This window comes from Homo sapiens, chromosome 4 (genome assembly GCF_000001405.40).
Source record: "Homo sapiens chromosome 4, GRCh38.p14 Primary Assembly".
Lineage (NCBI taxonomy): Eukaryota > Metazoa > Chordata > Mammalia > Primates > Hominidae > Homo > Homo sapiens.
The window spans coordinates 103031538-103044500 of NC_000004.12; the positions used below are offsets into that span (position 1 = coordinate 103031538).

Below are 12963 nucleotides of genomic sequence, written 5' to 3' on the forward strand. Positions count from 1 at the left end.
AAACTTACATCATAATTAACTTTTTATATAATTGTGACAATAGTAACCACTGTACACATACCTGCTGGAGATATTTCAATGAATATAAAAAGTAGACTTTATTGGTGAGTAGGCTGACCAAAAAAAGTGAATTTTAACAAAAGCACATTTTGAAATTCTTACCTACAGTTTCTGGTCTGAGAGATGCAATAGATACCTCTGCTCCAATTAGTCCAAAAAGAAGGGGCTGAAAAATGTCCCAGGCAACTGCAATTATCTTTTCAACCTCTGCCTAAAATAACAATAAAACACACACAGATTTTTATTATGTGAAGTTACAAATGCAAAGAATTTTATTAATTTGAGGTTTGAATTATTTGGCCTGAGATAAGCTTTATTTCTGTGCCATCTATAACTAAAAGGTTAGCTAGAACAGAGCAAAAAAACTGCATGAAGATCTTTCTATCACAGTTAAGATACATGAGGTGTTTTAGCATACTAAATATTAGTTTGCACATGGATATTAATAAAAAGATTCTTATAAAGTAATCTTATGAGGACTCCTACTTCTGAATACATCGTGTGTATGTGCATGTGTGTATACATATTGTAATATATAGTAGTGTTTTGTAGTTTAAAATTTTATGTCGACTTTCCTTCAACAATATGATTTAGAGAGCTTGCAATATTGGTACATATATCTAGATATGCCCCTATTACTGCTGCATAGTGATCTACAGTATAGAAGTACCATAGTTTATTCAATCATTTCTTTATTGACAGATCTTTAAATTGTTTCCAATTTTATCTGTACAAAAAATACTGTTTAAGGTTATCTCAAATCACGCACAAAAATAAAATCCAGGTTTACTAAAGTGATTATCAGTGCCAATTATCACTTTATTGCCCATTATCTCCAGCTCCTCTTTCACTGTTGCTCCACAGAAAATGGAGCTGGGCCTTTAAAATATTTTTCCTTTGCCAGGTAGCACCATGTTAAACTTTGTCAGTAGAGTGTGCTAAAGAGATATTGCAAGCTGAAGGTGCTTTTCTTCCTGGTTTCTGTGGCTCTTCCTAGCAAGATCTTATAGCATGCACTGGTGGCCTTAGCTCTAGGTTCCTGCATCCCAGGTGGCTTCTCCAGTATCAGGGTCCTACAATTCATGCAACCAGCAGCACCTAGTGGCCATTACATTCCCTAGCATACCCCTGGGGCAGTTTCGTAGCAGATTCTCTTGAGCAAGATACTTCCCCATGCACCCAAGGGGATGGATCTCCTGCAAATTGGGAGGGTAGATTTTCAGCAAATTCTGCAAGCACAGCACCACAGCGACTTCTCTAGGCTCTAACAGAGTCTGGATCTCAGCCCTGCAGGCAGGAATGTGGAGGGTACAGGCTTAAGGGGATGATCTATTATAGCCATAGGTGCTATTCTCATATTCTTTAAGGATGTCTTCACATCTTACTAGCCAATACCTTGTTACTGGAATCCCTGGTGTGGTTAATAATCAACTTTTCCTATTCCAGTTACTATTTGATTTCTCTTTCCTCATAGGACCCTAATTGATACAAGAACTAACTTTGTAACACATAATGCAAAAGACTCTAGGAAAACAGTGACACAATTGACTAGAGTAACATCAAAATGTTTTGTGGCAAAAGAAGCCATAAACCAAAAAAGTGACAAACTAGAAGAAAATATCTGTACCATGTGTAACAGAATAAGAAACATTGGCCAATCAATAAAAAAAAGACATAGATCCTAACAGAAAAATGGGCAATGAACCCAGAGACAGCATCATCATACTGAATAGGCAAAAGCTGGAAGCATTCCTTTTGAGAACCAGAATAAGACAAGGATGCCCACTTTCACCACTCCTATTTAACCGGAGTACTGGAAGTCCTAGCAAGAGCAATCAGGCAAGAGAAAGAAAGAAAAGGCATCCAATTAGGAAGAGAGGAAGTCAAACTATTTCTCTTCGCAGATTATACTATACCTGGAAATACTATACCAAGAATAGTACAGAGATACTATACCTAGAAAACTTCATAGTCTCTGCTCAGAGGCTTCTAGATCTTATAAACAACTTCAGCAAAGTTTTAGGATAAAAAATCAATGCACAAAAATCATTATTTCTATACACAAATAACGTACAAGCTGAGAGCCAAATCAAGAACGTGATCTCATTCACAATCGCCAAAAGAAGAACAAAATATCTAGGAATACAGCTAACCAGGGAGGTAAAAAATCTCTACAATGAGAATTACAAAACACTGCTGAAAGAAATCAGAGATGACCCAAATGGAAAAACATACCATGCTCATGGATAGGAAGAATCAATATTGTTAAAATGGCCATATTGTCCAAGGCTATTTATAGATTCAATGATATTCCTATCAAACTACCAATGACATTTTTCACAGAATTAGAAAAAACATTATAAAATTCATTTGGAGCCAAAAAAGAGCCCGAATAGCCAAAAGCAATCCTAAGCAAAAGGAGCAAATCCAGGGATATCACACTACCCGACTTCAAACTATACCACAAGGCTACAGTAACTAAAACAGATGGTACTAGTACAAAAACAGACACATAGACAAATAGAACAGGTTAGATAATCCAGAAACAAAACTGCACACCTACAACCATGTGATCTTCGATAAAGCTGACAAAAACAAGCAACTGGTAAAGGACCCCCTATTCAATAAACTGTGCTGGGATAACTGGCTAACCATATGCAGAAGATTGACGCTGGACCCCTTCCTTACAACGTATACAAAAATAAATTTAAGATGAATGAAAGACTTAAATGTAAAACCGAAAACTACAAAGCCCCTAGAAGATCTAGGAAATACCAATCTGGACATTGGCCCAGGCAAAGACTTCAAGATGAAGACTCCAAAAGCAATTGTGACAAAACAAAAAATTGACAAATGGGACCTTCTTAAACTAAAGAGCTCTGCACAGCAGAAGATACTATCAATGGAGTAAACAGACAACCTTTAGAACAGGAGAAAATATCTGCAAACCATGCATCTGACAAAGGTCTAATGTCCAGAATCTTTAAGAAACTCAAACAAATCAACAAGCAAGAAACAAACAACTCCATTAAAAAATGGGCAAAGCACATGAACGGACACTTCTCAAAAGGACACATACATGTAGCCAACAAGCATATAAAAATGTTCAACATCACTAATCAATGGGGAAATGCAAATCAAAACCAAAATGAGACACCATCTCACATCAGTCAGGATGGCTATTATTATTTTTTTTAATATTTAAAATTAACCACAATATTTGAGCTTGTGGAAGTAAACTGGGTGACCAAATGTCAAAGGAAACATAATTGTACATCTTTTGATACTTTTTAATTTTTTGAATATTTGAGCTTGTGGAAGTAAACTGCGTGACCAAATGTCAAATGAAACATAATTGTACATCTTTTGATACTTTTTAATTTTTTGAAAAAATTTATTTTAAATTCAGGGGCACATGTGCAGGTTTGTTACATAGGTAAACTTGTGTTATGGCAGTTTGTTGTACAGATTATTTCATCACTCTGGTATTAAGCCCAGTACCCATTAGTTATATTTTTCCTGGTCCTCTCCCTCCTCCCACCCTCCACCCTACAATAGGCCCCAGTGTGTGTTGTTCTCCTCTATGTGTCCATGTGTTCTCATCATTTAGCTCCCACTTATAAGTGAAAACGTGGTATTTGGTTTTCTGTTTCTGTGTTAGTTTGCTAAGGATAATGGCCACCCACTCCATCTATGTCCCTGAAAAGGACATGATCTTCTTTTTTATGGCTGCATAGTATTCGATGGGGTATATATACACCACATTTTCTTTATTCAATGTATCATTAATGGGCATTTATGTTGATTTCATGTCTTTACTATTGTGAATAGTGTTGCAATGAACATACTCATGAATGTGTCTTTATAACAGAATGATTTATATTCCTTTGGGTATATACCCAGTAATAGGATTGCTGAGTCAAATGCATTTCTGTCTTTAGGTGTTTGAGTAATCACCACACTGTCTTCCACAATGGTTGAATTAATTTACACTTCCACCAACAGAATGGCTATTATTAAGTCAAAAAATAACAGATGATGGTGAGGTTGTGGAGAAAAGGGAATGCTGATACACTGCTGGTGGGAATGTAAGTTAGTTCAGCCACTGTGGAAAGCAGTCTGGAGATTTCTCAAATAAATAGAACTACCATTTGACACAGCCATTCCATTACTGGTTATATACCCAAAGGAATAGAAATCACCCTACCATTAAGACACATGAACGTGTACGTTCATTAAAGTGTTATTCACAATAGCAAAGACACGGAATCAACCTACATGCCCATCAACGGTAGACTAGATAAAGAAAATGTGGTACATATACACCATAGAATACTATGCAGATATGAAAAATGAAAAAAGCTGGAGGCATCTCACTACTTGAATTCAAACTATACTACAAGGCTACAGTAACTAAAACAGCAATGGTACTGGTACTAAGACAGACACATGAACCAAAACAACAGGCTAGAGAACACAGAAATAAAGCTGCACCCCTACAATCATCTGATATGTCACAAAGCCAACAAGAACAAGCAATGTGGCAAGGACTCATATATACCATGTACATATATACCATGGAATACCATGCAGTCATAAAAAATAATGAAATCATGTCCTTTGCAGTGACATCGATGGAGCTGGAGGCCATAATCCTAAGCTAATTAATGCAGGAACAGAAAACCAAATACCACAGTTATCACTTACAAGTGGGAGCTAAACAGTGAGTCCACAGGGACACAAAGAAGGGCATGATAAACACTGCGGCCTATTTTAAAGTGGAGGGTGGCAGGAGGGGGAGGATTGAAAATAGTATGCTGATTACCTGGGTGACAAAATTGTCTGTACTCCAAGCCCTTGCAACACATCATTTATCCATGTAACAAACCTGCACATGTACCCCTTGAACCTAAAATAAAAGCTGAAAAGAAAAAAAAAAGAAACATGGGCAAAACATATGCACAACTAATTCACAGAAGAAGAGATACAAATAGTCACAAAATCTAAGACACTAAAACGGAGTAATTATGAAACACAAATTAAATTGACATGCCTTTTTTTTTTTTCAAGGGGGAACACCACATTGGAAAAATACTAAAAGGTTTTAATAATGAAAAGTATTCATGACTTTGTAAGGAAACTCACCATTTGGCAGGACAACAAATTGATAATGCTTTTTTGGAGGGCAATTGAGCAGTACCTATTATACTGTCTAAGAATTTACATAGAACAGATTTTCTCATAACTGAAAAGAAGCTATATTTTTGGATGACATTTCAATGCTTACAATTACACAATTTAAGGATCTGCAATATATACACCAGGTCCTCAAATAATGTCGTTTCTTTCAATGTTGTTTCCTTCCAACAATGAAAAAAAAATCAATTCTTCATGTTCTCCCCATATCTGCAAGCATTTTATGTGGGTAATCTGGTTTCCTCCCAAATCCCAAAGATGTTCTCATTAGGTGAACTGATGTGTCTACATGGTCCCTATCTGAATGACTGTGGGTGTGTGTGAATGCACCCTGTGATGGGATGGCATCCTGTGTAGGGTTGGTGCCTGGGATAGGCTCGGGCTTATTATCTTACTTGTTTTTATTAACCTTTCTGAAATGTATGTGTAGATTACAATTATTTCAATGTTTAATCTTCACAGTGTTTTGGTTTTTATTCAGAAGTTTGGTGATGTTTTTGTGACCAGAAATATGCGTTAGGAACTTAGCTCTTGTTTATACCAATTGGCCTATGGTAAAATTGGTTTTGTTATTTGTCTTTTCACTTAAAGTTGCAGCTTCTGAGAACCTATTGACAATGCTAAAATGAGGACTTACTATTAATATATTCAGCAGTTTGACAAAGAAGGATTACAATGTTTCTTTGTATTCTTTATTTGCATTATTTCTGATGTGTTTATAGTGGGAAGATTATATTTCCATTCAGCTTACAAGTGTTGAAAGAGAGCATATGTGAGGGCATTGGTTGATTTATTTAATAGTTCTGTTTCTATAGCATGAAAAATATTATGTTTTCATCAGATAACGAGTTAAGTTTGAACCCTCCACCACTAACTGCAAGGCACTTGCCTCTCAGCACCTCACTTTCTCATGTGTAGAACAAAAGGTTTATATTAGATAACATCTAAGATCATTTATTATGTAATGGCTAGTTCTGCCAAAACTACGATCCAGTTAACATCCTTCCACATATCTTTAAATTTTACTTTTTAATTTAGTTTTTTGAGTATATTATAGCTAAAGGTAAGACTTTTTTTTTTTTTTTGAGGCAGAGTCTTGCTATGTCACCCAGGCTAGAGTGCAGTGGTGTGATCTTGGCTCATGGCAACCTTCATCTCCTGGGTTCAAGTGAGTCTCCTGCCTCAGTTTCCTGAGTAGGCTGGGACTACAGGTGTGCACCACCACACCCGGGGAAGTTTTGTATTTTTAGTAGAGATGAGGTTTTGTCATGTTGCCTAGGCTGGTCTCAAACTCCAGAGCTCAGGCAATCTGCCTGCCTCAGCCTCCAAAGTGCTGGGATTACAGGTGTGAGCCACTGCACCCAGCCAACGTAAGACTTTAGTTGATACTCATTGTAGTAAAGAACAAGAATCAACTCTATTAATTTTAGATTACTTAGACTTTTGTTGCCATGAATAATTGTTTAAGAGAAGTCCTCAAATGTGTTTCATATACTCAGAATACAAATGAAAGTAGGACTAAAAATATTTCTAATCAAATTATTTTTTATTTCTAAACTGTAGACAAAGGCCAAAATTTGTTTTTGATTATAACACTTTAGACTAGTTGAACATCAGACATGGGCTTATATATTGCAAAACATAGAAAAACATAGAAAAGTCACAATGTATCTTCTTGTGGGTTTTTCATAATGTCAAAACTAAAATGAATTTGCCTATAAAGAAAATGGAGTCATTGAATAGGCTGTGTATAAAAGATAAGCCCAGGGTAATGAAGACTGTGTTGTCCCTTGAAAATTAAGGCCATTTGACACATTTGTATGCATCATTAGTAAGAATCTGAAAAAATATCAATTACTTTGGAGGACCAACAAAGGAGAAAGTTAAGATAAATGGAAGTTTCATCATGAGTTGGATATCTACTTAAGTTTATACTTTTTTGAAAGAACATTTTAAGATTCAGAAAATCCAAAATACCGTATCAACAAAAAAATCTGTAAAAGTCATTAGAAGCAGCACTAGATTTGACAACAGACAAAAAAAGAGAAGCAGCTTTAAAAAAGGTGAGTGCATCTGAATACAACAAACAAATGGAAAGATTAATGCTTATAAGACCAAGCACAAAGTATAAAATAATATCAGAAAACTATGGACACAAACAGAATCTTATAAAATATTTTAGCTTTTCAAAGTCTAATAAGTTAACAACAATATTGCTACAGCCCTGTAGAATTTACAAGTGTGTCATTTTCATTTTCTCACATAATAGTTACAGCAATTTTTTAGATGATTATTGTATTCACTTTAGAGTTGAGAAAACTGAGTATTTCAGAAGGCAAATGACTTGCTTGGGATTATACAGCTAGAAAGTAGTAGAACTGGGATTGGCATCCCAATCTCCATATTTTAAATCTTATGCTCTTAGTATGATATCATGCTGTTCTGGAGGTAATTATAAAAATAATAAGAGTTATTATTTACTGAATGTGTTCTATGATTAATAACTTTCCTTAGTGCTTCGTACAGGTTATTTTACCGAATCCTCCAGTCAGTGAAGTTGTCATCATCACTGGGAAGTTAGATAACTTGCACATGGTCAGACACACCTAGTAAAAGCTGTAGTGTTGAGACTGGCCTGAGGAGTCTGAGCTCTTGGCCCTAGGCTATCCTTTAGAATAAGGTAAGAAAAGGAATCCAAACTCAGGACTTTGGTTTGGTTCCTACAGGAATAAGAACTTTCCTGAGTACTAAATTAGAAAAGATATGGAGAGTACCTGCCACACGACAGAGTCAATAAACATTACTTTTCCTTCCTTTTTTTGGGGAACCATTTTTATATATTCAAATGGTATATTCTTTTTTTTTTTTTTTTGAGATGGAGTCTCGGTCTGTCGCCCAGGGTGGAGTGCAATGGTGTGATCTGGGCTCACTGCAACCTCCGCCTGCCAGGTTCAAGCAATTCTCTGCCTCAGCCTCCCGAGTAGCTGGGACTATAGGCGCATACCACCATGCCCGGCTAATTTTTTGTATTTTTAGTAGAGATGGGGTTTCACCATGCTGGCCAGGCTGGTCTCGAATTCCTGACCTCATGATCCGCCCACTTCGTTCTCCCAAAGTGCTGGGATTACAGGTGTGAGCCACCGCACCCAGCCTCAAATGGTATATTCTTATCCTGGCTCTGTCACTTACTTTTTGTCCTTATTTTTGACCTTCGCAATATACTTAGTATTTGTAGGCCTTGGTTTCCTGATTTTAAAAGTTGCTCTAATGTTTACCTTTCAAGATTATTGTTAAGAATAAATAACATATATCTCACTAACAAAGAGCTCTTCAAAAAAATTAAAACTATTATAGGAGACTGACAGATCTGACTACATGAAAATATAAAATATCTAAGTGTTAAAAGTGAACAATATAAAAAGGTACAAAGATTACTTAGACTTCTGTTGCTGGGACTAATTGTTTAACAGAAGTCCTCAAATGTATTTCATACACTCAGAATAGTAATGAAAGTAGAAGGACTAAAAAGATTTCTATATCAAATTATTTTTTATTTCTAAAGTGTAGACAAAGGCCACAATTTGTATTTTGATTATAATGCTTCAGACTAGTTGAACATCAGACATGGGCTTATATATTGCAAAACACAGAAAAACAGAAAAGTTACAACGTATCTTCTTGTGGGTTTTTCATAATGCCAAAACTAAAATGAATTTGCCTATAAACAAAATGGAGTCATTGAATAGGCTGTGTATAAAAGATAAGCCCAGGGTAATCAAGACTGTGTCATCACTTATATAGATGTGTGTATTGGGGGTGTATCTTACAGATGGATAATCAACACACATTATACTTTGGAAGATAATGAACAAAAGACCTACCAAAGAAAAAGAAAAAACACACAAGTGTCTAAATATGTGAAAAACTGTTCAATTTCACTGTTAAAGAAACACAAAATAAACAAGATGCAACTTTTTACCTATCAGTATGGCTAAAGATTAAAAGCAATAATATTTTAAGCCAGTGGTTCACAGTGTGGTCCCTAGACTGGCAGCATCAGCCTCATCTGGAAATTAATTACGTGCAAATTCTCAAGCCCCACCACAGTCTAAAATCAGAAATTTGTAGTAGGGCCCAGAACTCAAATTTAACAATCCTTCTAGGTAATTCTGCTAAAGTTTGAGAAAACTATTCTAAGGTGAAGTTGTAATGAGACAGGTACTTCATATTTTACTGGTAGAAAAGTAAATGGATAGAACTCTAGAAAGCAGTCTGGTAATATGTGTCGAAAACCTCAAAATGTTCATATTATTTCACCCCCAAATTTTACTGTTAGGAATATTCCTTAAGGAAGTGATCAATTTCTGATCATTTCAGCATAATTTAAAATAGCAGAGACTGGAAATAACCTTATAACTATATATAAAGGAATGGGTAAAAAAACCAAAAACCCAACTATGGTGCATCCATGTGTGTAGATAAAGAGATTCACATAGCAGAGTTACTAGAGGTAAATATTTTTAAAAATGTTAATAGTTATCTTTCTGGTTGTGGGGTTACACTGACCTTCTACATAGCAGGACTACAGGAAATGTAAACAAAGGGAACAATGGTTTGGTTTATAAGAATCATTTATAGATAACCACATTATAGTTTCTCTGAATAACAGTGTAATCGGAAGTGATCAGTTTCCCTTTCCCTCCTTTTTCTTTCTGTGCTCTTATCCAGTGCCCACTTGCAGGAGGTATCAGTCTCTCCTTCATTTCTCTGTTGCTAAAACTACTTTTTTATGCTCTGTTTCAAATGATATTGCTCCTTCTCATTGTTTATTCTTTTTATCCTATCATTTATGAATTTAGAAGCTGAATTTTAAACTGCAAAAGTTTAGAATTATGTTTAAATACACATGGTAAGTGTTACTCAAACAGATGTCAAAATATAAAATTGTGTCATGCACAATAATGCTACAGTTGTACTACAGCATAGTACAACTCACCTTGGAGTCAAATTAATCTGAGCTTAAATCTCCGTGCCATTTTCTAATTGTGTGACCTTGGACATGTTATTTAAGTCTTTCTGACTTACAGCTTCTATAAGGTAGAAATCATAATACTTTTCAAAGGTAATTTTGTGAAAATAAATGACCATATCCACTTAGTGCCTCATACAGAGCCATACAGCGTAGCAACAAAAATTTATTAATTCCTTTTTCTCTTTTTACCCATGACAGTATAATATAATGAGTTGATTTCAATTTGCAAAGATTTTTAAAGAGCTGGTGACAGAATGCATTTCTGTTACACTGTTGATATGAGAATGAATGTTATTTACCCACAGTGAATGCTGTCTATGGAAGATCCCCACAGAGATCCACTTAATTGAGTTATGATTATATATCTCATCTCAAAATTTGTAACGTTTCCATATTTTCCATATGGCATTATTTTAATTATTTAAGTTTAATTATTTTGAACAGTTGTCTTCAGGCTTTGTAAGATTATCACAAAATGATATAGCTGCATTTATTTTAGGTCACCGACATCTTCATTAAGCAGAATAGCATACAATCCTATCAAGTTCAAATCTACAAAAATGAATCTGAAAATTAAAATAAATAAATGACAACTAGTGAACTTCCATAATACATATAAACCAAATGAATATTCTTAATAATCTTGAAAATCAGTATGAAAAACCAAAGCAACCTTATAAAAATGGCAAAGGCTTTTGAACAAACTGGGTAGTAATCATATGAAAACATGATTAGCATTGCCCATAAAGAAATGAAAATCAGAATAATAATGAGATATATTTTTAATTCATAATATCAGCAAAATATCTCAAAGACTTAGATCAGAAAAACAGATCCTCTCACATAATATTGGTAAAAATATAAATTGGTACAGTCTTTTAAAAGGTCATATTGATATTATCAAAAGTATAAATGTGAGTACTCTTTCCTAGAGCAATCTGATTTCTAGAAATTTATTGTATAAACTAAAATATATACTATATTTTATTTATTTTAAGACACATATTTTTATATTTTAACATTTCTGAAATTAGAATGTTATGTTATCGTTTAATTGGCACTATTTTTTTTCTTTCTTGGTGTCATATAAAATAATTGTGTTTTTTAGAATTGACAGACTCAGATGAAATATGGTATGTAAGGATATATTATTGAAGCACTGTTTATCTTGGCAGAAAACTAGAAACAACGTAAATATCTATAAAATGCAATACTCCGTAGCCATTACAAAGAATAAGGAAGGCATTACGGTAGTATGACCATGATATATTTTAAGTAAAGACATCAAGTTATAGATTGATGTGTAAGGGGAAAAAAAAGATGAACACTGGGTGTACATTTGTATATGCACATTAAGATAGCTTTTATAATGAAATACTTTATTAATTTGATGCTAAGAAAGTATCTGGAAAGCCAACTTAATCTCATTAGAAAAGAGTCATGAGCAGAAAAACTTAAAATGAAATTCACCTTTTCGCTGGTCCATCCCATGCCTGCAAGGAAAGCCATGACCAACGTGCACAGTCCTCCTGATCCAGGGAAACCAAAATGCACACTGCTGAACACAGCTAGCACAGACAACCCCAACACAAGGAATGTTCTCTTACACACAAGTTTGTCCTTTAGGAGAAAAAAATTCATTTGCTCAATTATTTCAAATCCCTGATTTTTAATGATTGATTTTTTCCATATCTAGGATTTAGAAAGAAAATAAAAATTAAAATGTCTATATAAATAGACAAAACAAGTGCACTACATAACATTTACTTTCTCTTCTTAAACAAAAGCAGAGTTAGCACACTGCAATGGTGAGCTCTTCTTTCAGGAACACCAATTCTCTCCTCTACAGTTATCAATGCAGAATTTCACAGCACTTAATGAAGTAGCAGAAAAAAAGTACATGAGCTTTGGAGCTGGACAGACCAAGGTTAAATTTATAGTTTTTATACATTGTTGGTGTATGTAGTAGCCACATTACTTAACCACTCCAAGCTTTGTTTCCTGAAAGCATTTACATCATAGGGTTTGTGTGAAGGTTAAATATATATCTCTATTATTTTCAGGCTCTATGTTTACTGTTTTAAATTTGACGCCCCCTTGGTTTTTCTTTCTAAATCTTTGGAAACCAGGAAGCTTTAAGAGGTTCTAGACTGACAGTAGTTTTTGTTGCTGTTGTTTTAAAGTCTAAGAATTGTGTACTTTTTTTCCCTTTACTTTTCCCTGTCCAGGCTTTTAAACTTCTTGATCACTTTAGAAAGTAGGTCTTTAAAAGTGCTTGACTTGGCAAAGGCATGCAAGCTCTGAAGGTGAATTACCTGAGTTCATTCCCAGTTCCACCGCTTTCTAGCTATGTGACCTTGTTCAAGTCACTTATCCTGCCTAAGCCTCAATTTCCTTATCAGTAAAATGGTCATAGTAATAGAAATCTCTTTATGAACTATTTTGTCGGTTGTACTAGAGCAGTGTTTTCCAATAGAATGTTTAGTGATGATGGAAATGTTCTGTATCTGCTATAGCCACGTGTAGCTAGTGGCTACTGTACTGAACAAAGTGGCACTAGATGATGATTGACTGATTTATGTATGTGTGTATGCATGTATGTATTAGATATGGGCTCTTGCTGTGTTGCCCAGACTGGACTCAAACTCCCAGAGGGATCCTTTTGCCTCAGCCTC

General features: G+C 34.9%; 1 protein-coding gene across 12 annotated transcripts in view; it reads right to left on the reverse strand.

The window, feature by feature from the left end:
* Positions 1 to 12963, reverse strand: part of SLC9B2 (solute carrier family 9 member B2) — a 59291-nt gene that overhangs the window by 13509 nt on the left and 32819 nt on the right. For all 12 annotated transcript variants that reach the window (NM_001370201.1, NM_001370205.1, NM_001370204.1 and 9 more), the window contains 2 exons: positions 11759 to 11908; positions 163 to 271 (listed from right to left, as the gene is read on the reverse strand). In NM_001370201.1, the coding sequence (NP_001357130.1) occupies positions 163 to 271; positions 11759 to 11908 (259 nt within the window). The remainder of the gene's footprint in view (positions 1 to 162; positions 272 to 11758; positions 11909 to 12963) is intronic.